Below are 25,648 nucleotides of genomic sequence, written 5' to 3'. Positions count from 1 at the left end.
TTAAATTCTGAAGACCTTCCTTTATTATATCTTGTAAGGTAGGTCTGGTAGCAACCAATTATGTTTATTTTTGCTTATCTGGAAATGTCTATATTTCATTTTTCTTTTTGGAATCTAGTAATGGCAACAGTGACCCATCTAGAGTGGCCATTGCCAAGACACCAGCTGCAGCAGGGAGGCATCGTCCTCACCTCTGGCTCCACAGAGCAGGCAGGAGCCCTGCCTTCCTGGGCACGGCTGCAGCCATCCAAACCAGACTGAAGACTCAGGCATCCCTGCATTCTTGAGGGACTAGAAAGGCACCCCTTGCTTTTCAGGGTCAGAAGTGCCTGCTCCCACTGCCTGGCTTCTCCCTGCTGTTGGCACCCACTCCAATCTTGGAGCAATGTTGGGACCAAGCCCCGACACCATGAACAGCAGCAGGAAGTGGACCAATTCCTGGGCAGAAGAAAACAGGTCCCCGGTGAGGCCCCACCTTCAGGTCAGGGAAGGCCTGAAGGCTGGGGACCAGGCTGCCAATCCCACAGCTGGAGTAAGAACTGGTGCCTTTTCCAGGCCACCATGGCTGCCCATGGACCAATCATTGCACACTTCCTCCCCTCTGAGGCCCATAAAAGCCCCAGGCTCAGCCAGAGCTGAATAGACAATGGGATGACCAGCTGCAGAGACAAGCTACCTTCTCCAGGGCCTCCTCTCTGCTGAGAGAAGCAGACATCAGAGTGACCTGCCTGCAGAGGGGAACCACCCTCTCCAGGGCCTCCTCTCTGCTGAGAGTTGAACACTCAACAGGACGACCTGCCTACAGAGAGGAGCTACCCACTGTGGGTCTCCTTTGAGCTGTTCTGACACTTAATAAAGCTCCTCTTTGACTTGTTCACCCTTCACTTGTCTGCATTCCTCATTCTTCCTGGACACAGGACGAGAACTTGAGCAAAGGTGCCACCAGCCACAGGTTTCTGGCCATAAAATCGAAACCCCAAATATCCCATAACACTAGTTTTGCTGGAAAAGACTGTTGGTTGACAGGTTATTTTCAGCAGTTTGAATGTGTAATCCCACTGCCTTCTTCCCTCCATTTTTTCTGATGAGAAGGTGGCTGTTATTGTTATTGGGATTCCCTTGGACATGACAAATCATTTTTCTCTTGTTTTCAGTGTATTCTCTTTGTCCTTAGCTTTCCAGAGTTTTAATAGAGTGTATCTGAGTGTGGCTCTCTACTACTTGGAGTTCCTTAAGATTCTTAGATGTGTAACTGAGTGGTTTTCATCATTTTTGAGAAATTTTCAGCCATTGCATCTTCAAATATATGTTGTCTTCTTTTCTTTTTCTCCTCTTTCTGATACTCCTATTATATCTATTTTGGTGTACTTCATGATAGCCCACATTTCTCTAAGGCTTTGTTCATTTTTCTTCATTCCTTTTTCTCCTCATTCTTCAGGTTGCATATTCTCTATCAATCTATCTTTAAGTTCACTGATTCTTGCTTTTGCCAGTTCAAATTGATTACTGAACTCCTCTACTGGATTTTTCATTTCAGTTATTGTAATTTCCAACTTTGGAGTTTCCATTTTACTTTTTCTTATACAATTTCTATTTCTTTGTTGATATGCTCAATATATTTGATGAGACACTGTCATTATACTTTACTTCTTTGTCTTTTTTTTTAGACAGAGTCTCACTCTGTCACTCAGGTTGGAGTGCAGTGGCATGATCTCAGCTCACTGCAGCCTCCATCTCCCAGGTTCAAGTGATTGTTGTGTCTCGGCCTCTCAAGTAGCTAAGATTACAGGCATGCACCACCATGCCTGGCTAATTTTTTTTATTTTATTTTAGTAGAAATGGGGTTTCACCATGTTTGCCAGGCTGGTCTCGAACTTCTGACCTTAAATGATCTGCCTGCCTTGGTATCCCAAAGTGCTGGGATTACAGGCATGAGCCACTGTGTGCACACATAATTTTTATATTTTTAGTAGAGATAGGTTTTTGCCATGTTAGGCAAGCTGGTCTTAAACTCCTGGCCTCAAGCACTCTGCCCACCTCAGCCTACCAAAGTGCCAGGATTACAGGAGTGAGCCACCAAGCCTAGCTTTTTTTTTTTTTCCAAACAGTGTCTTACTCTGTCACCCAGGGTGAAGTGCAAAGGTGAGATCATGGCTCATAGCAGCTTCAAAATCCTGGGCTCAAGCACTCCTCTTGCCTCAGCCTCCCAAGTAGCTGAGACTACAGGCCTGTGCCACCACATCTGGATAATTTTAAATTTTTTTTTTTTTTTGAGACGGAGTCTTGCTCTGTTGCCCAGGCTAGAGTGCAGTGGCACGATCTCGGATCACTGCAAGCCCCGCCTCCCAGGTTCATGCCATTCTCCTGCCTCAGCCTCCCAAGTAGCTGGGACTACAGGCACCCACCACCATGCCCAGCTAATTTTTTGTATTTTTTAGTAGAGATGGGGTTTCACCGTGTTAGCCAGGATGGTCCCAATCTCCTGACCTCGTGATCCGCCCACCTCAGCCTCCCAAAGTGCTGGGATTACAGGCATGAGCCACCGTGCCCAGCCAATTTTAAAATTTTCTGTAGAGATGAGGCCTCTCTATGTTGCCCAGGCTGGTCTTGACTCCTGGCCTCAGGCAATCCTCTCAGCTCAGCCTCCCAAAGTGTTGGGATTACAGACATGAGCCACCATGCCCCTCCTTCCTTTACTTCTTTTTTTTTTTTTTTTTTTGAGACAGTCTTGCTCTGTCGCCAGGCTGGAGTGCAGTGGTGTGATCTTGACTCACTGCAACCTCTGCCTCCTGGGTTCAAGCAATTCTCCTGTCTCAGCCTCCCAAATAGCTGGGACTACAGGCACACACCACCATGCCCAGCTAACCTTTGTATTTTTAGTAGAGGCAGGGTTTCACCATGTTGGCCAGGATAGTCTCGATCTCTTGACCTTGAGATCTGCCCGCCTCGGCCTCCCAAAGTGCAGGGATTACAGGTGTGAGCCACCACACCTGGCCTCCTTTACTTCTTTAAGTGTGGTTTCCTTTAGTTGTTTAATAGCTGCTTGGAAGTCTTTGCCTGCTAAGTCTGACATTTGGACCCTCTCAAAGGCAGCTCTGTTGCCTACTTTTTTCTTGTGTATGGGTCACATGTTACTGTTTCTATGCATGTCCCATAATTTTTTGTTAAAAATTATAATTTATAATATACTTATATATAGTATATACATAGTTATATATTATGCTAAAATAATATATATTTATAGCATAAAATATATTAACATTCGCCAGGCACGGTGGCTTGCGCCTGTAATCCCCGCACTTTGGAAGGTCAAGGTGGGTGGATCACCTGAGGTCAGGAATTCAAGACCAGACTGGCCAACATGGTGAAACCTCATCTCTGCTAAAAATACAAAAATTAGCTGGGCCTGGTGGCACCACCTGTAATTCCAGCTACTTGGGAGGCTGAGGCAGGAGAATTGCTTGAATCCAGGAGGTGGGAGCTGCAGTGAGCTGAGATCATACTACTGCACCCCAGCCTGGGCAACAGAGACTTTGTCTCAAAAAAATAATAAAATAAAATATATTAATGTTTCAGATAATAAATTGTAGCAACTCTGGATACTAACCACTACCCCTCTGCCACATGCACACAGCTTCTTGTTTTTGTTGTTTGCTTATTTATTTAGTGGCCTGGCTGGACTATTTTAGGGAAGTTTATTTCCCGGCTGTGTGCAGTTTCTGACGTCATGCCTAAGAAGCCACAGCCTTGTGCGTGTGTACTGTCACCCTGGAATGACAATGGCTTTAAGATGGCTTTCTTTGTGTCTGTTCTTGAGCTTTCTGTTAACCTGTATATTAGTATCACACAACTGTTAGCCTCTACTAACTGCTGACTGGTTCCTCTATTGTTTTATAATCACTTGGGCATAAATTTCTCCACAGTCTGATCAAATTAAATTCAAGCCCCTTTGCTCTGTTGCGCAGGCTGGAGTGTAGTGGCACGAATATGGCTTACTCCAGCCTCGACCTCCTGGGCTCAAGCAATCCTCCTGCCTCAGCCTCCCGTGTAGCTGGGACCACAGGTATGTGCCACCGTCTCTGGCCAATTTTTTTTTTTTGAGATGGGGTCTCACTTTGTTGTCCAGGTTGGTCTTAAACTGCTGGACTCAAGTGATCCTCCCACCTTGGCCTCCCAAATTGCTGGGATTACAGGTATGAGCCACTGCATCTGGCCAATAAATGTTTATCTGCCATATGGCCTTAAGAAAAATTCCAGAGAATGTGAATGGTTGTTTTTAAAATTATTTTTCATCAGTTATGGTTGTTTTGTCTGCAGAGCTCCTCCTGACAGCATTCCAAATGTCCTCTTCCTAAAATCTTCTCTTTAATCCTAGTGTTCTAAGATTTCACAATGATGAGCCTTGGTGAGAGATTTTGCTTTGTTTTATATACATTCATTTTGCTAGGCACTCACTAGACTCTCAATTAAGCACTTCTGTCGTTTCCGAAAACGTTTATTGTGTTTTTAACTCTTTATCACCTATTATCTCTGTCCTCTTTTTCAGGAAGTTGAATCAGTCAGATGTTGAATCTCAGATTGATCTAATTTTCTTATTTTTTGTATCCTGTTGTTCATCTCTGAGTCTTTCTGTGTAACTTTCTGAAAGATTTCCTTGATTTTATCTTTCTACCACTCTCTCACATTTTAAATTCTTGTTCTCTGATTGCTCCCCCTTCTATGGCATCCAGTTCCTGTTTTGTGGATGCAATATATCTTCCAATCTCTCTGAGATGATCAATTGCAGTTTCTTCAACATTTTCTTCTGCTCTTTGCATCATCTTTGTTTCCTCTGAGTTCCATTTGTTCTGCTGTTTTGGCCTCTCTCTTACATGTTGGAAGCTTCCCTCAAATCTTTAGAGAAGCTGAGCATGACGGTTCGTGCTTATAATCACAGCTACTCAGGAGGCTAAGGTGGGAGGATCACTTGAGGCCAGGAGTTCAAGACAAGCCTGGGCAACATAGCCAGACCCCATCTCAAAAAAAGTCTCTGGAGAGGGGCTCCTTGGTGTGGGACAGGACATCTCACCAAGAAAGCATGCTTATGGCCCCTAGAGAGTACATTCCATGGAGGAGAAGGAGCCAGCCTTGGAGTTGGATACACCTGGCTCAAAATCCAGCTCCATATCTGCCTGCTTTTTTATTCTGATTGGATAACTCCCCTGAGCATCAATTTCCTTCTCAGTAAAATGAAGATAGTAAGACATCCTGTGGATCACACAAGAGCAAGCAAGCGCTTGTCAAAGAATAGACACTCCAGAAATGTTAACTTTTCAGGCTTCCCCTTTCAGAAGTTGAACTAAGGTACTTCAGTTCATCTAAGGTACTTACCACCTGCATTGACCATTGATGTTCATTTCTCTTCCTTCTCTTTCCCTCCCTCTTTGACCTCATATGCTCAAGGCCATGCCTCTACCAATCATGGAGGGACAGACCATCTCTGATAATAAGACTTTGCCACCATGCTGCCTTAAGCAAGTGGTTAAGAAGACATATGTTGGTGTCTGGGATCCAAGGCCTGCATCGATCACCGAAATAGCAGATGTGATGTAAAAACAAAGATTTACCTAGCAGCCCCAAGCCTGGTGTGAGACCCGTATTTACTACAGTCAAAGAGGAGACAGGAACAATATGGTCTCCAGGACTCAAGAGTCCACCCAAGGGAAACCCTCCCAGTGACAACTGGGATCTGGACCCCAGAAAAGGGCTCTTTCTCTCCCCCTCAAAGATTTGGAGGGTTGTGCCTTAGAGCAGAGGAAGCATCTTCTAGTCTTCTGGCAGCCTGGAGACCTAGCTCTCCAAGACAGCTGTTGGACTTTATGCACCATACACCCATGCTGCCCTGCTTTCCCACCCACCTCCAGCCACCTGCCATCCCCATCTTGCTGCTCAAGTCTAGGCTGAGACTCTGTTCCTTTGGTGGTATCATCTCCCTAGCTGGGCCCTGCACCAAGGAGAGGGAAGGGACAGGTTCCAGGGAAAGGGGGAAGCCAGCCAAGGAGGTCTTACCCTCCAGGTGAGAAGCTATGCATTCTGACCTCTCCCAGAGCGTTCTGCACCAGGCGCCTGACTTCAAAGGCTCCCCTAAGCACAGCCTGGCCCTATTCCTTCAGATCTCTGAGCCTGCCATGGTGGGCACTCAAGACAGGTGTCTCTGGGTCTGGGATGGGAGTTTGGGCAGAGCTATGCTGCAGCCTGTGTCCACTGGGCAGGGCGTCCATACAAGGAGTTCCACACTCCTGAGCCCTCTGCTGAGAATGTCTGCCTCCAGCCCTGTGCATATCATCCCTGGGGTGGCAGGTCACCTGAGCAGAACCAGCACACTGGGTGCTCAGGGATCCTGTGCGCTCTGGTGACCTCATCCTCCATCTCTGTCACCTCTCCCACATTTCTGAGGGACAACTGGGCACAGATTCTGGAACACTGTGAATGAACTCTAAACCCCTCCATCTAATGGGCCTCAGGGGCACTTCCTACGAGCACTGCACCATGCTAGGTTGGCAGGGTGAAACAAAAACAGCAAACAGGAGGGGTCCCGGCCCTCTAGCTAGTTGGAATGTAAGGCAATTATCTGCCAAGTATCCCACAGTAAAGCTGTGGGAGCCTAGAGGACAGAGCTTTTTGGGAGAATGGGCCTGAAAAAGTTCTCGAGCTTGATCTGGGTGGTGGTTCACAGGTGTGTGCACCTCTAAAAATCCATCATGCAGGCCAGCCAGGTGTGGTGGCTCTCACCTGTAACTCCAGCACTTTGGGAGGCTGAGGTGGGCAGATCTCTTGAGCCCAGAAGTTCGAGACCAGCCCAGGTAACATGACAAAACCCCATCTCTACAAAAATTAACTGGGCATGGCGGCACAATCTTGTATCCTAGCTACTCAGGAGGCTGAGATGGGACGATCACCTGAGCCCAGGAGGTCAAGGCTGGGTTGCAGCGAGCAGTGATTGCACCACTACACTCCAGCCTGGGTGACAGAGACAGACCCTGTCTCAAAAAGAAAAAAAAATCCATCACGCTGTACACTTAAGATGTGTGCACTTTACCATATGTGTTATACTTCAATTTTTTTAAAAAACTGTAACTGGCCCTGGTCTCAGAACTCAGCAGAGAGTAGACAGGCCAAGCGGGGAGTGGAAGGTAGGTGGCAGGACCTCCAGGGAAGCCAGCTCTGGAGGCCCGGTGATGGCAGTGGGAAAGAGCCATGGGAATGAGTTGGAGCCATTACCAAGAAAGAAGGTGAGGGCCTGGGGACTAACATAACATCAGAGACAGAGGCAGCCAAGAGTGAGAGGTCTGGGGTATGAGAGCCAGGGCAGCCTTCTGTTTGGGGAACACCCAGAGACGACTGGGAAGTCCCAGTCTGCACACAGTTGAAGGGGAAGTGGAAGAGGGATGTGTTGACTTCTCAAGTTTCGAATAGGTGAGGACGGTATGGCTGACAGTTGGAGGGTTCAGAGCACCAGAACACACTCAGGACTCTGAAAGGCAGGCCCCGGGAGATAACTTCAGAGGGTGACTAGCAGCAGCCAGCCCATGGGCCTGAGACCACCACTATTCCCAATCCCTGGTTTCCCCCAAAGCAGTCTGAGCAGAAAAAAGACCTGAGTCCGCCCCAGACTAGCCTGGGTCAGCCCCACCATTTGTGAGGTCCAAAATCCTGTGTTTGGGGGACATGTGTGGTGAGTCTCCAGCACGAAGGTGGAAGGGAGGGAGCACACAGTAGATGCTCGAGCAATGGCAAGGACTGATTCTAGGCCACCCATGAAGCTAAGCAGGGGCCCTCTTCACACCTCTAGTCCTCCAGTGTCTCCTCAAACTTCCCCAGAGCAGGAGGCTCACTCCCTCAGTCACTCCCTCCATTTCCATAAGCTCTAGGTGCCAGGACATTTTCCTTCTCTGGGGCTGAACTTTGCCTCCAGGTCATTTCTCAGAGTTCTAGGATAGACTCTTGTCCCCTGAGGCTGCTCTTCCCTGCTCATCCAGCCTGGCTTTTGCAAAGCCTTCAGCATGCTGGCTCTTCTCCTGCAGATGTTGGGCAGCAGGGGCCCCAAAAGGACCACAATCCTTCAGATGCAGTCTGAGCCAGAAGGAGGAAAAATCACCTCCTTTGACCTGCATGCTATACCACTATTAATGCAGCCCAAGCTATTAGCTAAGGAGGCTACATGCAGTGTGTGGTTATCATTTACCTGATGGGAAAAAGAGGGAGTTCTTGTTTCCCAAGTACCACCTTGGCTTCCCAGAGCCTCTCCATGATCCCCACCCAGTCCCTGCCTCACTGGGCCCCTACTCAATCTGCCCTCCTTCACCCACTGCACTCTGCCCCACTCACAAAACTTTTATGTGCCCCAGCCAGCTCTTCCCCTTCCCACATTTGCACATGTAATAGCCTGGGTCTGAAATGCCCTGGTTCATCTTCCCCTGGCGAACTCCTGGTCACTCATCTTGCTTCCACTTACCTCCTCCAGGAAGTCTTTCCTGAAAACCCCTGCCCTTGCCTAAATTAGGCTCCAAGGTTATCCCCTCTCAGTACCCCGTACTTTTCCTCCATGGTGCTTATCAGGGTGTCTACTCTTCCTTACCTGTGGGCAGCTATCTCAGAAAGGACCCTGAGGGCAGGGAGCATGTGGATTCTTTTCCCCACTGTGTCCGCAGCACTGGGCACAGTGCCTAGCACAGAGCACATATACATACAGTAAAGATGGACTGAGTGGACCTGTAAATGAGGCATCCTTGTTGATCTGGTTATGCAAAGCCCTCGACTGCTACACCACTCCATCCTCCCCAGGCTGAGCGAGAGGATGCAGTGTCAAGAGAGTGTGCTTTGGGGCCGGGCACAGCAGCTCACACCTGTAATCCCAGCACTTTGGGAGGCTGAGGCGGGCGGATCATGAGTTCAGGAGATCTAGCCCATCCTGGCTAACACGGTGAAACCCCATCTCTACTAAAAAATACAAAAAATTAGCCGGGCATGGTGGCAGACGCCTGTAGTCCCAGCTACTCAGGAGGCTGAGGCAGGAGAATGGCATGAACCTGAGGGGCAGAGCTTGCAGTGAGCCGAGATCAGCCACTGCACTCCAGCCTGGGCGACAAAGGGAGACTCTGTCTCAAAAAAAAAGAAAAAAATTCTGGCAGTTATTTGGCAGGGAGCTCTTGGACAGATGTAGTTTATTCTTTAGGGGTCTCCAGCTTGGAGTTACCCACCCCATGTTTACTGTCCAGCCCTGAAATTGGGTAGTCCACCATATATTATCCCAGCTGGGGTAGGGTGATGCCCTACTGTAACCTGTATTTGGTTTAGGGCAAAGATATTTATCTGCCTGTGAGATCTGTCTCTGATTTTTTAAATTTCCACAAGGTAAAACCTGGCAGGCATTAAATCTTATAGTCTGGGGTGCTACTGTCTTGGTCACATTAATCACCAACCTGACTGGGTAGAGAAGAGTCTGCTGCCAGTTTCCATTTTGACCTTCTGCTCTTTGTATATTAGCCCATCCCAGCCATGTTAATTTCCAGAAATGGGGCCAGCTCATGTTTTCTTTTTAGATTTTTCTTAGAGTTCACTTTAAGGGTTCCTTAAAGTTAAGAGTTAAAGTTAGACTCGGGCACTTTCCACTGATCTTTTTCCCTCCCTTCCGGGATCTCTTTTACCAGTCCCTTGACTCGAATATAGTGAGTCCACCTCCATTCAGCTGTTTGCAGGGCCATCTCAGTGGTCAGGAGCACTTGATAGGGACCTTCCCAGCTTGGGTGGAGCTTGTCTTATTTCCAAGTCTTAATCAGCATGAAGTCACCAGGCTGGAAGTGGTGAACCACAAACTTAAGAGGTGGAGTTTGAGTTAGAAGTCTTTTTAACCTAAGGGATGACAGGGTGGAGGATATGGCCAGTATATAATTTCTTAAGAATTGATCCTTGGTTTCCATAGTAGGGAGATCTGTAGCTCTGCCTAAATACAGGAGCCCATATAATAACTTGTAAGGGAACAATCCCAAGTCTTTTATTGGAGCTGTCCTAATCCTGCAGAGTGCTATTGGGAGACATTTGGTCCAAGCATTTTAGTTTCTAAGATTAGTTTGGTGAAATGCTTTTTGAGAGTTTGATTCATTCTTTCTACCTTTCTAGAGGAAGGGGGATGCCAAGGGGTGTGATAATCCCATCTAATTTGTAAACCTTCCATAATTCCCCTTAACACCTTTGAGGTAAAGTGGCTCTCATTGTCTGAATCAATATTTTTCACCAGGCCAAAGCTAGGTGCAATCTGTTCTAATATAATTTTGACCATATACCTGGTGGTGGCTGTTGGGAGGCAAAAGGCTTCCACCCAGCTGGAAAGGTGATCTACGATCACCAGTAAATACTTTCGTCTTTCTACTTTGAGCATTTTTGTAAAATATACTTGAATGCTTTGAAATGGTCTTAGTCCAGGAGGTCTTCCTCCTGTGGCCTGTTTTCTAATTACCTTTTGGTTTATCCTTTGACAAGTTACACAATTTCCACATACTTGTTTAGTGAGGGTATAAGTCCCTATACACCCATAATTCCTAATGTTATAGGAGGCAGAAAGAAATTTAGGTAGACAAGGTAAAGTGAGTCCCTGGCAGAAAACTTTCCTTCTATTAAAAAGCAGCTCAGAAATAGCTCCCTTTCTAACCTCATGCAGTTCAAAGAAATTACTTCTCTTCTAACAAATGGCGCCTGAAAGCTCAGCCTGTAAATCACAGATAAAGAGCTCAAGCACAGAAGGAGGGGGGTTGGGGGGGATCGAGATTCGGGGGAAGTCTCCTGGGTAATCACCAAACTTCACTCTCATACAATGGGCCCCAGTAAAAACAGTGGGCCTTAATAAGCACATTCCTTTCCCTTTAGGCACACTAAGATAGGGAAGCTAAAAGTGGACTGGGGTGTGGGGGTGGGTGCCTGAAGCTGCAAGATACCTGGAACAGACACAGATACTCTCCCTCCCAGATAAGTGACACAATTAGGTAAAGGCTGATAGAAACTCTGCTCTAAACAGATAGCACATCTGGTCACAACCAAATCATTGGGCCCTAGGAGGATAAGACATCCCCTCCTCACTAGCCCCCTCCTCACTAGCCCATTTATGAAAACTCTGACATTTTTATTGCAACTTGGCAACCGGCTCAGGACCCCCCCTTCAATGCAGAGCTGGTCCCTCCCACGGCCACGAAATTCCTACTCCAAACCCACTCCACCTGTGCAACCCCAATCTCCCCAGCTGCAAGACCAAGAATCCTGGCATCCACCCCAGCCAACAAGGCTGCCTCACTAAGTATTGCATTACACAGAGCCTGGGGTCCCCAGTGACTCCCTTTGTGTACTATAGACATTAGTTCTTTTATCAGGGGTTTACTCACACTAGCTCTCTCACACTGTCTACCTTTATTTCAGCTGTCTGCTCCTGCTCTGCGACACCTGCCACCCCCCAACCTGCAGCTGCACTTCCTGGCCCACAAGGCCAGCTCTTAGTTACAAAGTTAACTTTTAAAAGGCTTTGCCTTACTGGGTTCTCTGAACTTAATCTGGAGTTTTTTTTTTTCCATCTGATCTCTGGCCTCTGCAGGAATGCAGAGGGAGTTTTCTTTTTCTTGTTGAATCTCGAATGCCTTTGAGACATTTTGTGTCCTAGGAGTGGGCTCCTTGACCCCTTTAACTATCAGTTCTCTGAGGTCCTGCATTTGGGCCTAGTCCCTGGGATCATTATTATCCCATTTGGGATTGACATTTGGAAGTTTTTTGTTCGACTGTCAAGACTTCTTGCCTGGGAGGGTGTTGCCTCTTCCAGATAGTCATGGCCACTCTCCTAATCATTCCCTTTTCTTCTCCTATGAACAGGATATTTAAGATAGACATCATTTCAGCCCAGGTGTAAAAGCTGGGTCCTATGAATTTGTCCAGTTGGTCTGCTAAACCGAGGGGATCTTCTAGGAGTGGTTTCATTTCCTTCTTGAAATTCCTAACATTAGTACTTGTAAGAGGAGCATTTACAAAGCCAATCTCTCCCTGTCCCACGAGAACTTCCCTAAAAGGGAACATGCTAGATGCCTGCTGTGTGAAAGGGATAGGGAAGTTTTCAATATCCCTCTTACACTGTTCTAATTCTTTTTTCAAATTTGGATAAGGATTTAAAGGAGCAGTTGGTTCAGCTTCCCCATGGTCTCCAGGTCTTTCTTCCTCTAACCCTCCTGCTGCCCCTTGATCTTCCTGTCCCCTATTTTGTGAGACATATGGAGGGGGCATGTATGACAGGGGGTCCCAGGGCTTTTCCCTGGGTGAGGGCTTTTTACTAGGCTCTTTTTCTTCTTCTTTGAAGGGAAACATGGGGGCTAATTCCTTGATCCAGCAGAGAGCATAACATCTCTTCTTGTGAGGGTGGGGTTTTATCATTCACATAGAGAATTAAAACTTGGCACACCCAATCCTCATCTGAGCCAAACTTGGGCCAAAACCCTGAAGGCTTACAAATGGGGTCTTTGGGCCAGATAAAACAGCAATGCTTTATTATCTTTTGCTTTTCCTTGTCCCTGGTTCGAGGGTTGTCCCTCCAAACCTGCCACATTCTCCCCAAAGGACTATCTGGGGGAATGTCAGAGGAGTCTCTTTGGCTCCCTCTTTCCTTTGTCCCCTAGGCCTAGAATTCCTGTTTCCCATTTTCAGTCAGTCTCTGTGTCTGAGTTTCCCTGTGTACTCAACCCCCCTTTACTGGAGGTTTCTTGCACACCCCGAGAATCGCTTCATCTGTGTCCAGCCATTTCCCTCTCGGGAGAACAGAACCACGGATTAGGACTCCGCACTCACTTTGTATCTAAGATACGTCTCAGTCACACACACACTCAACCGCCGAAAATGCCCAACCACCAAGGCAGTACTTACAGTCCAATTTTCCACCTTGGCTCACACACAAGGTTGCCTGGTTGCCACGATGCCCGCTTTTCTCCCTGTGTCATCTCAACTGTCTCCTGAATAAGTCTTGGGTTTGTCTATGGCTTCTGTGGGGAGCCGGGATGCCCGACAGAGCAGGCCACCTAAATTGAGTAGGACATGTCTCCCCTCTTGGCCAGAGTCCCACTCCATGCAGGCACAGAGATCCCAGACAGGCCCCCAGGTTGTGAGAAACATGCTCACCTGTCCAAACCCAAAGAATGGACTTAGAGGCATGAAGAACAGTTAAAGTGAGACTTCTAATAGTGGTCTTGCAAGATCAGGTGTCTTGCAGGCAGGCACGCCTGGGACAGTCACAGCAGGTAATTTATCCCTTAGCACAGAAGTCCCTCCCCCAGTTCCTCATTGGTTGAGTACTATGGGGTTACAATCTTCCCGGATATTGCCTACGTTTTCTTATCCCCCTTATAAGATTATACCCCATCCCCTTCCCCACTTAAGTTTAGATTTCCCAATAATGAAACTTTTTTCCCTTTTATGAGCTGACCCCTCTTCTACATTCTGTTTGTTTATTGTGACCTTCTAGATGCATGAGCCCTGTGGTTTGTTACATTTTCAGGCTGGCTGCCAGTACTTAGATTTATCATGCCTTGAAAACTGACCACTTGAAATGTTTTCTCACAGGCCAAGCATGGTGGCTCATGCCTGTAATCCCAGCACTTTGGAAGGCCAAGTTGGATCGTCTGAACTCAGGAGTTCGAGACCAGACAGGGCAACATGGCAAAACCCTGTCTCTACCAAAAATTCAAAAAAATTAGCTGGGCATGGTGGGACGCACCTGTGGTCCCAGCTACGGGGGAGGCTCGGGTGGGAGGATCACTTGAGCCTGGGAGGCGGAGGTTGCAGTGAGCCAAAATCACACCACTGCACTCCAGCCTGGGTGACAGAGTGATACCCCATCTCAAAAAAAGAAAAAAAATGAATGAATGAAAGGAGGTTGTAGATGTGTGGGGACAGTGGGATATGGGATATGGAAACTCCCTGTACTTTCCACTCAGTTTTGCTGTGAACTTAAAACTACTTCAAATAACCTTACTAATTAAAAAAATTAATAAATGAATGAAGACATATGATCAGTCCTTGCTTATGCAACTTTGGCTTGCAGAGGCCTCAGGCCATTGTGCTTGTGTGAAGTACCGCAGGCAGACTTGTCCCCGAGAGCCAGCACTGGCCCAGGCCCAGGTGCGAGCAGGTGCTGTGATCCACCTGACTGGATGACTGGTGGCCTATTTCCTACCCATCTGCCTGTGATGTCATAAGTCAAGGTGATTCCAAAGGCCATCTGAGCTTTGGCCTGTGCCCTCCATTTTCTATGCTGTGGCCACTGGTCCACTCTGGAGGGTCAGGCTGGCTTGTGAATGGAGCAAGAACTAACCCCTGAGGCTTACAAATTCTGCATGCATGCATATGCTTGCACACCTTCTGCTGCTAATCTGGAGTATTCCTGCATCCCAGACCACCACGATTCTCTGAGTTCCAGAGAGACTGAGCCAGGGCCATGGCAGAATCTATAGACCAGAGGGGACAGTCCTGGCTCCAGGATACCTGCCATTCGATGTATCAGTGTTCCTGTTCTCCAATCATAAAAATGGGGCAACTCAGGGCATGACTTCTTTCCTAGAAAATTCCCAGGCAAGCCTCTGCCTTGGTCACGCCTTCCTGGAAGCCCAGGACGATCCTTGTGGAAGCCTGGGGGGCCTCTACCCCGCCCTAAACCCCCACTACACACTCACCTTCTCTTGCAAGCCAGCCCTGGGAGAGGCCATATGGAGACTTCAGGGATTGTCTGGTGACTGGCCTGTCACCCTCCAAGACCCAAGCTTTGTTCCCTCCAGCTGGCCTCCTCCTCTGGTCTTCCTCCAATGGCCCTGGGCCTTGGAGGCAACATGACTCACAGAAAGAGCAAGGGCTTGGAGCCTGCCAGAGCTTCCTCACTTACTAGCTGTGGGACCTTGAGAAAGTTAAGTAACCGGTCAGGCGCAGTGGCTCACGCCTGTAATCCCAGCACTTTGGGAGGCCAATGCAGGTGGATCACCGGAGGTCAGGAGTTCGAGACCAGCCTGGCCAACATGGTGAAACCCCGTCTCTACTAAAACTATAAAAAATTAGCTGGGCATGGTGATGCGCACCTGTAGTCCCAGCTACTCAGGAGGCTGAGGCAGGAGAATCACTTGAACCCGTGAGGTGGAGGCTGCAGTAAGCCAAGACTGCACCCCCAGCCTGGGCAACAGAGCAAGACTCCGTCTCAAAAAAAAAGAAAGTTAAATAACTTATTTGAACCTCAGCGTCCTCATTTGTCAAATTCTTGCTCTCAGGAGAAATGGCCAGGGGACAACAATATCCACCTTAGGGTTGCTGTGAGAATTAAATTGTAAATGGTGGCCATTGCTTCACAGAGCATGGCTTCCTTCTGGTGCTCTGTGAGTAGTGACCATACATGCTGGTTTGCCCAGAACAGTCCAGTTGATGCCTATTTTCCTGGCATGTTAATTGCCCTTTTTCACTCTCAGAAGTGCCCAGTTTAGACAAAATACAGTCAGCCTGTGTTTCTTTCTATTCCTAGCTCAGGTCCAGCCTGTGTTAGCAGCACCACTATTTCTACTTTCCCCTGTAAGAGGCCATGCTTGGTTTGTGGTTAGGTTGCTGACACACCAGGGGTTTGGTCTAGGTCCTGCTGTTGGTCACACAAAAAGCCAATGACTGAGACACAGGATTGCCAAGGAAGAAGGCTTTAATTGAGTGCTGTGGCCAAGGAGATGGGAGCTCAGTCTCAAATCCATCTCCCTGGCTAAAATTAGGGGTTTGTACAGCAGGGAAGAAACTTAACAATGTAAGGGAAAACAGGAACTCCTGAGGGGTAAGGAAGCAATCATGATAATGAGGGGCCTGGGTCTCATTGTCTGGATGCTATGCTCTGTGAGTTTCAGTTCTTTCCTACTTTTTGAGAGGCCTGGTATCTCACTGTCTGAATCTGGTGAGTTTCAAGCTTTAAGACCAGATGTGTCCATTTCTGTTTATCAGGAAAAACTGTGTATGAGATTCTTTGATACTTTTTGAGAGACCTGGTATCTCATTGTCTGAATCTGGTGAGTTTCCAGCTTTAAGACAAGATATGTCAATTTCTGTTTATCAGGAAAAGCTGTCTATGGAACTATTGGGTCAATTTCAGTTATATCCTTCTTTCTGGGCCTCAGGTTCCTCTTATTATTATCATTTTTTAGAGATAGGGTCTCCCTACGTTGCCTAGGCTGGAGTCAGTGGCTATTCACAGGCTCAGTCATGGCACACTGTAGACTCAAACTCCTGGGCTAAAGCGATTTTCCTGCCTCAGCCTCTGAGTAGCCAGGATTGCCCGTGCACACCACCACACCTAGCACAGGTTATGTCTTTTTTTATTTTTTTTTTTTTGAGACAGAGTCTCGCTCTGTCATCCAGGCTGGAGTGCAGTGGTGCAATCTCTGCTCACTGCAACCTCCGCCTCCTGGGTTCAAGCGATTCTCCGGCCTCAGCCTCCTGAGTAGCTGGGATTACAGGTGCATGCCACCACACCTGGCTAATTTTTGTATTTTTAGTAGAGACGGGGTTTCACCATGTTGGTCAGGCTGGTCTCGAACTCCTGACCTCGTGATCCACCCACCTCGGCCTCCCAAAGTGCTGGGATTACAGGCATGAGTCACTGTGTCCAGCCGCTTTTTTTTTTTTTTTTTTTTTTTTTGAGATGGAGTCTCGCTCTGTCACCCAAGCTGGAGTGGGGTGGCAGGATCTCCACTCACTTCAAGCTCCACCTCCTGGGTTCACACCATTCTTCTGCCTCAGCCTCCCGATTAGCTGGGACTACAGGTGCCTGCCACCATGCCCAGCTAATCTTTTGTATTTTTAGTAGAGACGGGGTTTCACCGTGTTCACCAGGATGGTCTCGATCTCCTGACCTCGTGATCCGCCTGCCTTGGCCTCCCAAAGTGCTGGGATTACAGGCATGAGCCACCGCGCCCAGCCGCCCAGCCTCTTATTTCTTAAATGGGAATAACAATGCCCATCTGGAAGGATGTTTAGGAGGCTTAAATGCAGGGTCTGGCACAGGCCAGGAGCCAGATAAACCTGAGTTCCCTTCCACAGCCTTCTCTCTCTTCCCTCCATCATGCCAGCTTCCCCCAAGCATGGCACACCAGAATTCAACTTCTCCCCTGCCAGGAGAGCAATTTCCAGAAGTTCCAGGTAACATATCAGCTCCCAAGCCAGGGCCAGGCCACGGTCTCTTCTGAGAGGAGGAAATCTTCAGGGCCAGGAGCGGTGGCTTACACCTTTAATCCCAGCAATTTGAGAGGCTGAGGCAGGAAGATTGCTTGGGTGTGGTGGCTCTCACCTGTGGTCCTGGCTACTCCTCTGGTGGCTGAGGTGCGAGGAACACCTGAGTCCAGGGAAGTCGAGGCTGTATGTGAGCCATGATCGCACCACTGCAGTCCAACCTGGATGAAAGAGTAAGACCCTGTCTCTTAAAAAAATGTTATTTACTTTTTTTTTTGAGATGGAGTCTCACTCTGTCGCCCAGGCTAGAGTGCAGTGGCACGATCTCGGCTCACTGCAACCTCTGCCTCCCGGGTTCAAGCAATTCTCTGCCTCAGCCTCCTGAGCAGCTGGGATTACAGGCACTCGCCACCACGCCCAGCTAATTTTTTATTTTTAGTAGAGACGGGGTTTCGCCGTCTTGGCCAGGTGGGTCTTGAACGCCTGACCTTGTGATTCATCTGCCTTGGCCTCCCAAAGTACTGGGATTATAGGTGTGAGCCACCACACCTGGCCAAAAAAATTTTTTAATTAAAAAAATTTTATGTCTGGTCAGGACCTAGTTAAAGTTAAAAAACTTTCTTTTTTTTAATTTTAAAGAGAGGGCCGGGTGCAGTGGCTCACACCTGTAATCCCAGCACTTTGGGAGGCCGAGGCGGGTGGATCACGAGGTCAGGAGATCGAGACCATCCTGGCTAACACGGTGAAACCCCGTCTCTACTAAAAATACAACAAAAATTAGCCAGGCGTGGCGGCCGGTGTCTGTAGTCCAGCTACTTCGGGAGGCTGAGGCAGGAGAATGGCATGAACCCAGAAGGCGGAGCTAGCAGTGAGCCAAGATAGCGCCACTGCACTCCAGCCTGGGCGACAGAGCGAGACTCCATCTCAAAAAAAAAAGAAAATTTAAAGAGAGAAAGAAAGGATCTTCAGCATCCATGTGTTCATGTTCAACTCATGTTGGCTGCTTCCAAGTCCATCGCTATGGCTGGTAACATTGTTTTGCCTACACAGATGGAAGGCACCTTTTAATTCACCTTTGAACACTCCTTCCTCTTCCAGGAATCCAGAGGCCTGAAAGGGAGTCTGCTGGGCCTCCAGTCCCTAAGGACCTGCTGTCTAGGCTAGCAGGCAAAGCATCACCATGTAATCTCAGCAGATAAAGCCACCATGAAATGAGCCCATTGCAGCAAGGGAACGACACATGCTCCCAGATTCCACCTGGATTAGCTGCATGTCCTCCAAAAGCCCTGAAGCTCACATATCTGCCTCTTGTCCTCACACCCACCCACTCCCCACATTCCTTTGCTATGAGACAACTGGTAGTTCTTCTGGCCTGATCATTCCCATTGCCTTGCCGCAAGGGGTACCAAACCTGGCTTAAATATTGTAGAATATTTGGTTCCACCAGGAAGCTCTCAGTGTAAACAACTTGTCAGTTATTGGGGTTGATTTCTTTGCTCAGAGGCAGTTGCGTGACACTTAGGATTTTCATCCTGCCCTAGAAACCACAATACATGAAGGAAGGAAGCCATGAGCAGAAAAAGGTAATGAAGGAGCTGTCCAGTTGGGACTGAAAGGGCAGGCATCTGGGGATGCTGATGTATGGTGGAAGGGGTGTTTCAACTGACCCCAAGGAGGTAAATGCAAATAAGGGTAGAAGTCCTGTGCAGGAGCCTGTTTGCAGGTAGCTGTAGGGCAGAAAGAGAAAACCCTAGCACACTGCACTGGCTGTGCGGCCCTCAGTTTCTTGTCTATGAAACAGCTACATATGCTAATTGACTCCATCGTGAAGCTGTTATGTGAGGAGGGTGAAATGAGATTAAAGAAACACTTGGCAATATGGAGAACATGTAACACGTACCCATAACCCAAGTCTTATCTAGGGCTCCACACAGTTCAGTCCTGCTCAGCTGCACTCAGAGAATCACACATTGCAAAGGGCTTTAAAAAGAACCTCAATCACAATTGCTGCAGTGAGCTGAGATTGCGCCACTGCACTCCAGCCTGGCGACAGAGCAAGATTCCATCTCAAAAAAAAAAAAAAAAAACCTTGGCCAGGCGCGGTGGCTCACGCCTGTAATCCCAGCACTTTGAGAGGCTGAGGTGGGCAGATCACAAGGTCAGGAAATCGAGACCATCCTGGTTAACACGGTGAAATGCCATCTCTACTAAAAATACAAAAAATTAGCTGGGCGTGGTGGTGGGTGCCTGTAGTCCCAGCTACTTAGGAGGCTGAGACAGGAGAATGGTGTGAACCCGGGAGGCGGAGCTTGCAGTGAGCCGAGATCGCGCCCCTGCACTCCAGCCTGGGCGACAGAGCGAGACTCTGGCTCAAAAAAAAAAAAACAAAAAGATTCCTTCACTCCTCCATTTGTTCCCATCTTCCCAGTTCTGTATCTCAATCTGTTTTTCTTTTTTTTTTTTTGTTTGAGACGGAGTCTTGCTCTTGTCATCCAGGTTGGAGTGCAATGGCACGATCTCGGTTCACTGTAACCTCTGCCTCCCAGGTTCAAGTGATTCTCCTGCCTCAGCCTCCCGAGTAGCTGGGATTACAGGCGCCTGCCACCACCCAGCTAATTTTCGTATTTTTTAAGTAGAGACAGGGTTTTGCCATGTTGGCCAGGCTGGTCTCAAACTCCTGACCTTGTGATCCACCCGCCTTGGTCTCCCAAAGTGCTGGGATTACAGGCGTGAGCCACCACCAATCTGTTTTTCTAATCCCACACCACAAAGTGCCCAGGAACCACAGAACAGATTGTTTTTGTTTTGTTTTGTTTTTTGAGATGGAGTCTCATTCTACTGCCCAGGCCGGAGTGCAGTGGTACGATCTCAGCTCACTGCAACCTCTTCCTCCCCGGTTCAAGCAATTCTCCTGCCTCAGCCTCCTGAGTAGCTGGGATTACAGGCATGCACCACCACACCTGGCTAATTTTGTATTTTTAGTAGAGACAGGGTTTCACCATGTTGGCCAGGCTGGTCTTGAACTCCTGACCTTAAGTGATCTGCCCACCTTGGCCTCCCAAAGTGCTGGGATTACAGGCATGAGCCACTGCGCCTGGCCACAAAGACAGATTGAACAATACTGTGAGGTCAGGAGAGAGAAAAAAACTATACTATAATAAGCAAAGCAAAATTATTTTTCATGGGTGGGGCTGAAGATTGCTATAAATCTTGCACCAACACACACATACAGTGTCATTTAGTCTCCCTCCCTCCACTGGCCACAAGGACAGTGGGTTGTTTTTTGTTTGTTTGTTTGTTGGATATTGTGTTTTGTTTTGTTTTTAGTACACACCACCTTTGGAAAAGACCGTGGTTTTTACAGTTTTTAATGGTGTTGATTTTTCTTCACATTGTTACTTTTGTCACCCCTTTTCCAGAATCAGGGGTGTGGTCAAGGCCTTCAGCACAACCTAGATTCCCCTTCTCAGCATCCTGGCTTCCTCCTAGACTCCAGCTTCTCAATCCAGACCCAATCTGTCCTGCACATACCGCCCCGCTGATCTTGACCGCACGCCACACTCACCATGTGCCTCCCCTACTGAACAGCTCCCAACCTCCCCAGCACGTGGAGCCGGAGTTCCTCCCTGGGTGTCCTACATCAAGCACATGGCAGCATGTCTTCACCCTTTGTATCCTTGGTCCTCCTGTAAGCCCCAGCCCAAGTTCTGTTCCGTCCAGGGGACCCATCCTGACTGCTCAATTCTGAAGTAGAGTCCATGCCACACAGTCTCACTTTCATTGTTTGCTGTTATTTGATCACTGTGAATCTTTCTCCCATAAGAACATAAGTTCCTTGAGATCAGGGATCTCAAAGGTTTATTAAAAGCACACAAGGATACTCAAAATTCATTTTCCTCTGTTAGCTTGTGACAAGAAAAGCAGACCCATTTCTACTCCAAAGGCCTTGATGAATATCTTCAGGCCAGGCACCGTGGCTCATGCCTGTAATTACAGCACTTTGGGAGGCCAAGGCAGGAGCATCACTTGAGTCCAGGAGTTCATGACCAACCTGGGCAACATGGTAAAACCCCATCTCTGCAAAAAATAAAAAATTAGCCAGGCATGGTGTCATGTGCCTGTAGTCTCAGCTACTGGGGAGGCTAAGGTGGGAGGATCAACTGAGCCCTGGAGTTCAAGGCTACAGTGAGCTGTGATTGTGCTGCTGCACTGCAGTCAGCCCAGGTAACGGAGTGAAACCCAGTCTCAAAAACAAAAAGAAAATTTCCAGATGCCTCTGCCAAGTCTGTGTGTTTGTTTGCAGTAACTCCCTGCCATCATTTTTAAGAACTTCCAGATAAAGAACAGAAAGAGGCCAGGCTCACACCTGTAATCCCAGCACTTTGGGAGGCTGAGGCAGGTGGATCACTTAAGGCCAGGAGTTCAAGACTAGCCTGGCCAACATGGTGAAACCCCGTATCTACCAAAAATACAAAAATTAGCCGGGCCATGGTGGCGGGTGCCTGTAGTCCCAGTTACTCGGGAGTCTAAGATGGGAGGATCACTTGAGCCCCAGAAAGTCAAGTCTGCAGTGAGCTGTGATTGTGCCACTACACTCCAGCCTGGATGACAGAGTGAGGCCCTGTCTTAAAAAACAAACAAAAAGAGCAGAAAAATCTTTTTATATTTTTATTTATTATTATTAAATTTTTTAGAGACAGAGTCTCACTCCTCACCCAGGCCGGAGTGCACTGGCATGACCATAGCTCACTGCAGCCTTGGACTCCTGGGCTCAAGCAATCCTCCCACCTCAGCCTCCTAAGTAGCTGGGAATACAGGCGTGTGCCACCATGTCCAGTTAGTTGTGTTTCTTTTGGTAGAGATGGAGTCTCACTGTGTTGCCTAGGCCTGTCTCAAACTTCTGGTCTTAAACTAATCCCTCTGCCTTGGCCTCCCAAAGTGTTGGGATTACAGGTGTGAGCCACTGTGCCTGACCACAAGGAACTCTTTTTAAAATGTATTTATTGATTTTGTGGTAGATAGTATATTCATCTGGCCCAACAATTAAAAATGAAGTCACCTCCTATCTTTTTTTTTTTTTTTTTTGAGACGGAGTCCTGGCCTGCCTCCTATCTTTGTTTCTCAACCACTCAGTTAGTTCCCCTGCCAAGAGAAAAACAATAGACAATGTTTTTCTCTGTTTATCTTTTTAAAGGCATTTGATGCACACACAAGCCAATAAGAATATATCCTCCTTTTCTTTCCCCACCCCCATTTTTTCTGCACAAGCATGCATGTGACATTCTTCTGCACCTTGCTTTTTCTGTTTAACAATGTACCTCAGAAGTCTTCCCAAATCAGCTTCCTCAACACTTTGTTTTATGGTTGTGTAGAGTTCCAGTGTATGAAGGAACACACTAATTTATTTATCCAATCTCCTGGCTGTTAGATAGTGAGGGTGTTTCCAGTCTTTTAGCACCATATGCGAGGCTGCAATAAATCTCCTGTTCAGACATAATGTCATACAACTGAGTGTATCTGTGGGACAAATCCCTAGAAGCAGAATTGCTAGGTCAAAGGGTAAGGTGCATATGTAATTTTTTTTTTTTTTTTTTGAGACAGAGTCTTTCTCTGTCACCTAGGTTGAAGTGCAGTGGTGCAATCTTGGCTCACTGCAACCTCCACCTCCCAGGTTGAAGCGATTCTCCTGCCTCAGCCTCCTGAGTAGCTGGGATTACAGGCATGCACCATCACACCTGACTTTGTATTTTTAGTAGAGACGGGGTTTCGCCATGTTGCCAGGCTGGTCTCAAACTCCTGAGCTCAGCCAATCTGCCCGCCTTGGCCTCCCAAAATGCTGGGATTACAGGCGTGAGCCACTGTGCCTGGCCTGGTCTTTCAGTACCATATACAAGCCTGCAATAAATCTGTTTAGACATAATGTCATAGAAGTGAGTGTATCTGTGGGACAAATCCCTAGAAGTAGAATTGCTGGGTCAAAGGGTAAGGTGCATACGTAGTTTTGATAGATACTCCGAGATTGTTCTCCAGTGAAGTTGCCATCAATTTACGCTCCTACCAGCAATGCATGAGGGCACCAATTCCCCACACCCCCACCAGTCTAACAGGCAAAAGTTTTAGGTCTAGCTTGATTTGCACCACTCTCCTCATGAATGTGGCTGAGTAGCTGTTTAAGGGCCCTTTGTGTGACTGGGTTTTTGGTTTTGTTTTTTTTTTTGTTTTTAATGTGAATTCTTCGTATCTTCTGCTCACTTTTTAATACATGTTCTTGGTCTTTTTTTCCTTTTTCTTTTTCTTTCTTTTTTTTTTTTTTTTTTTTTATTGAGATGGAATCTTGCTCAGTCACCCAGGCTGGAGTTCAGTGGCATGATCTCAGCTTACTGCAACCCCCGCCTCGCAGGTTCAAGCAATTCTCCTGCCTGAGCCACCCAAGTAGCTGGGACTACAGGCATGCACCACCATGTCTGGCTAATTTTTTGTATTTTAGTAGAGACAGGGTTTCACCAGGTAGGCCAGGTGGGTCTCAACTCCTTGAGCTCAGGCAATCTACCCACCTCGGCCTCCCAAAGGGCTAGGATTACAGGTGTGAGCTATTGTGCCCGGCCCTTGGTCTTTTTATCATCAATGCATAGGAGTTCTTCATATATTAGGAGAATCAGCCCTTTGTTTATGAGCTGCAGATAATTTCCCCAGCATGTTGTCCTTTGACCTTGACTTTGGGTTGTTGCTCAGTGAACCTATTTTTCTATAGTCAAATTTATCAATCTTTGCTTTTGTGGTTGCTAAATTTTGTCTCTTGCACAGAAAGGAGCAGGAACCAATAGCCCCAACACACACACCACTTTTTTGATCAGTACAAGCTTGGAGTGACTTACTGGGTTCTGTAAGGAACAGGACAACTCCTGCTCTCCAAGAGAACCCAATGTTAGGAGGACACAAAGTAAACTAACAATTACAATTCTGTTGTAATAAATAGTGGTGGCCGGGCACGGTGGCTCACTCCTGTAATTCCAGCACTTTGGGAGGCCGAGGCAGGAAGATCATGAGGTCAGGAGTTCGAGACCAGCCTGGCCAACATGGTGAAACCCCGTCTCTATTAAAAATACAAAAAAAAAAAAAAAAAAAATCAGGCCAGGTGCGATGGCTCACGCCTGTAATCCCAGCACTTTGGGAGGCTGAGGCAGGTGAATCACGAGGTCAGGAGATTGAGACCATCCTGGCTAACACAGTGAAACTCCGTCTCTATTAAAAATACAAAAAAAAAATTAGCCGGGCGTGGTGGCGGGCGCCTGTAGTCCCAGCTACTCAGGAGGCTGAGGCAGGAGAATGGCGTGAACCAGGGAGGCGGAGCTTGCAGTGAGCCAAGATCATGCCACTGCACTCCAGCCTGGGCGACAGAGCAAGACACCGTCTAAAAATTTTAAAAAAGAAAAAGAAAAAAAAAGCTGGGCATGGTGGTGCACACCTGTAATCCCAGCCTCTCAGGAGGCTGAAGCAGGAGAATTGCTTGAACCTGGGAGGCAGAGTTTACAGTGAGCTGAGACCGCACCACTGCACTCCAGTCTGGGCGAAAGAATGAGACTCCATCTCAAAAAATAAAAATAAAAATAAAAAATAATAGTGGGAAGCACCATGGCAACCTGGGCAAGGAGGTTGCAGTTGGCCAGGGAAGGCTTTCCAAAGGAGGTAGCACCCAGGTACATCCACAGGCATGTGTGGGAGTCAGTCTTATCCCAGTAAAAGCAGCAGCATGTGCACAGGCAAGAGGCCTCACAAGTTCAAGGTTGTCCAGTCTGGCAAGAGAATACGGAGCCCTTCAGGGTTGGCATGTGGTAAAGGGCAGTGCTAGAAGGGTAGGCAGGAGCCAGATCACAAAGGGCCAGGTGTGTACTGCCCAGGAGTCTGGGCCTGACCTGAGGCAGTGGGGAGGCAGCAGCGGCACCTGACCAGCGGGGTGCAGGAAGGGCTGGAGGCGGCCCAGGGTGGAAGCTGGGCCTTGGTTTGGTGGCTTCTGCCTCCCACCCAGCAGCATCCACAGCAGCCTTGAAGGGCTCATGGCTGCCACAAAAGAGTGCACATTTCAGACCCAAATGTTCTATTCTCTGAAACTTCCAGAATTCTATAAAAAATCATCAGGGAGGCTAGAATCTTCTCTGAGAAACATTTCTCCCCAAGATGAAGGTAACTTCAAGTGCTTGGACCCCTCGTGGGGAAAGCAGTGATTGTCACTCCCCACTCAGCACCTCCTTGGCAGATGGGGCCAGCTAAATGCAGCACCTGCTCCTCTTAGCTCCAGTCTGGTGCAGGGAACAGCTGGGCTCTTTAGGCCCAGCCCAGACCCATTCATCCAGACCCCCCGCTTCAAAATGGGCGGCAGGGATGCAGGACTGCTGTGGGTAGGAGATGG

General features: G+C 47.9%; 7 annotated features.

Moving 5' to 3' along the window:
- Positions 7,008-7,107: an enhancer, noted in NCBI's record as "active region_9830". NCBI's record gives its function as "activates an Ori minimal core promoter by ATAC-STARR-seq in GM12878 lymphoblastoid cells {active_cell/tissue: GM12878}" and the evidence as "EXISTENCE:reporter gene assay evidence [ECO:0000049][PMID:35858748]".
- Positions 7,188-7,277: an enhancer, noted in NCBI's record as "active region_9829". NCBI's record gives its function as "activates an Ori minimal core promoter by ATAC-STARR-seq in GM12878 lymphoblastoid cells {active_cell/tissue: GM12878}" and the evidence as "EXISTENCE:reporter gene assay evidence [ECO:0000049][PMID:35858748]".
- Positions 7,288-7,547: an enhancer, noted in NCBI's record as "active region_9828". NCBI's record gives its function as "activates an Ori minimal core promoter by ATAC-STARR-seq in GM12878 lymphoblastoid cells {active_cell/tissue: GM12878}" and the evidence as "EXISTENCE:reporter gene assay evidence [ECO:0000049][PMID:35858748]".
- Positions 7,608-7,717: an enhancer, noted in NCBI's record as "active region_9827". NCBI's record gives its function as "activates an Ori minimal core promoter by ATAC-STARR-seq in GM12878 lymphoblastoid cells {active_cell/tissue: GM12878}" and the evidence as "EXISTENCE:reporter gene assay evidence [ECO:0000049][PMID:35858748]".
- Positions 15,370-15,419: an enhancer, noted in NCBI's record as "active region_9826". NCBI's record gives its function as "activates an Ori minimal core promoter by ATAC-STARR-seq in GM12878 lymphoblastoid cells {active_cell/tissue: GM12878}" and the evidence as "EXISTENCE:reporter gene assay evidence [ECO:0000049][PMID:35858748]".
- Positions 24,607-25,106: an enhancer, noted in NCBI's record as "H3K27ac hESC enhancer chr15:75344341-75344840 (GRCh37/hg19 assembly coordinates)". NCBI's record gives its function as "activates a minimal SCP1, AML or CMV promoter by ChIP-STARR-seq in primed H9 embryonic stem cells {active_cell/tissue: H9 hESC(primed)}" and the evidence as "EXISTENCE:reporter gene assay evidence [ECO:0000049][PMID:30033119]".
- Positions 25,107-25,608: an enhancer, noted in NCBI's record as "H3K27ac hESC enhancer chr15:75343839-75344340 (GRCh37/hg19 assembly coordinates)". NCBI's record gives its function as "activates a minimal SCP1, AML or CMV promoter by ChIP-STARR-seq in primed H9 embryonic stem cells {active_cell/tissue: H9 hESC(primed)}" and the evidence as "EXISTENCE:reporter gene assay evidence [ECO:0000049][PMID:30033119]".

The sequence above is a fragment of the Homo sapiens genome, chromosome 15 (genome assembly GCF_000001405.40).
Source record: "Homo sapiens chromosome 15, GRCh38.p14 Primary Assembly".
In the NCBI taxonomy this organism is placed as follows: domain Eukaryota; kingdom Metazoa; phylum Chordata; class Mammalia; order Primates; family Hominidae; genus Homo; species Homo sapiens.
Note: the sequence above shows the minus strand (reverse complement) of the source record. Positions and strands in the feature narration are given on the sequence as shown.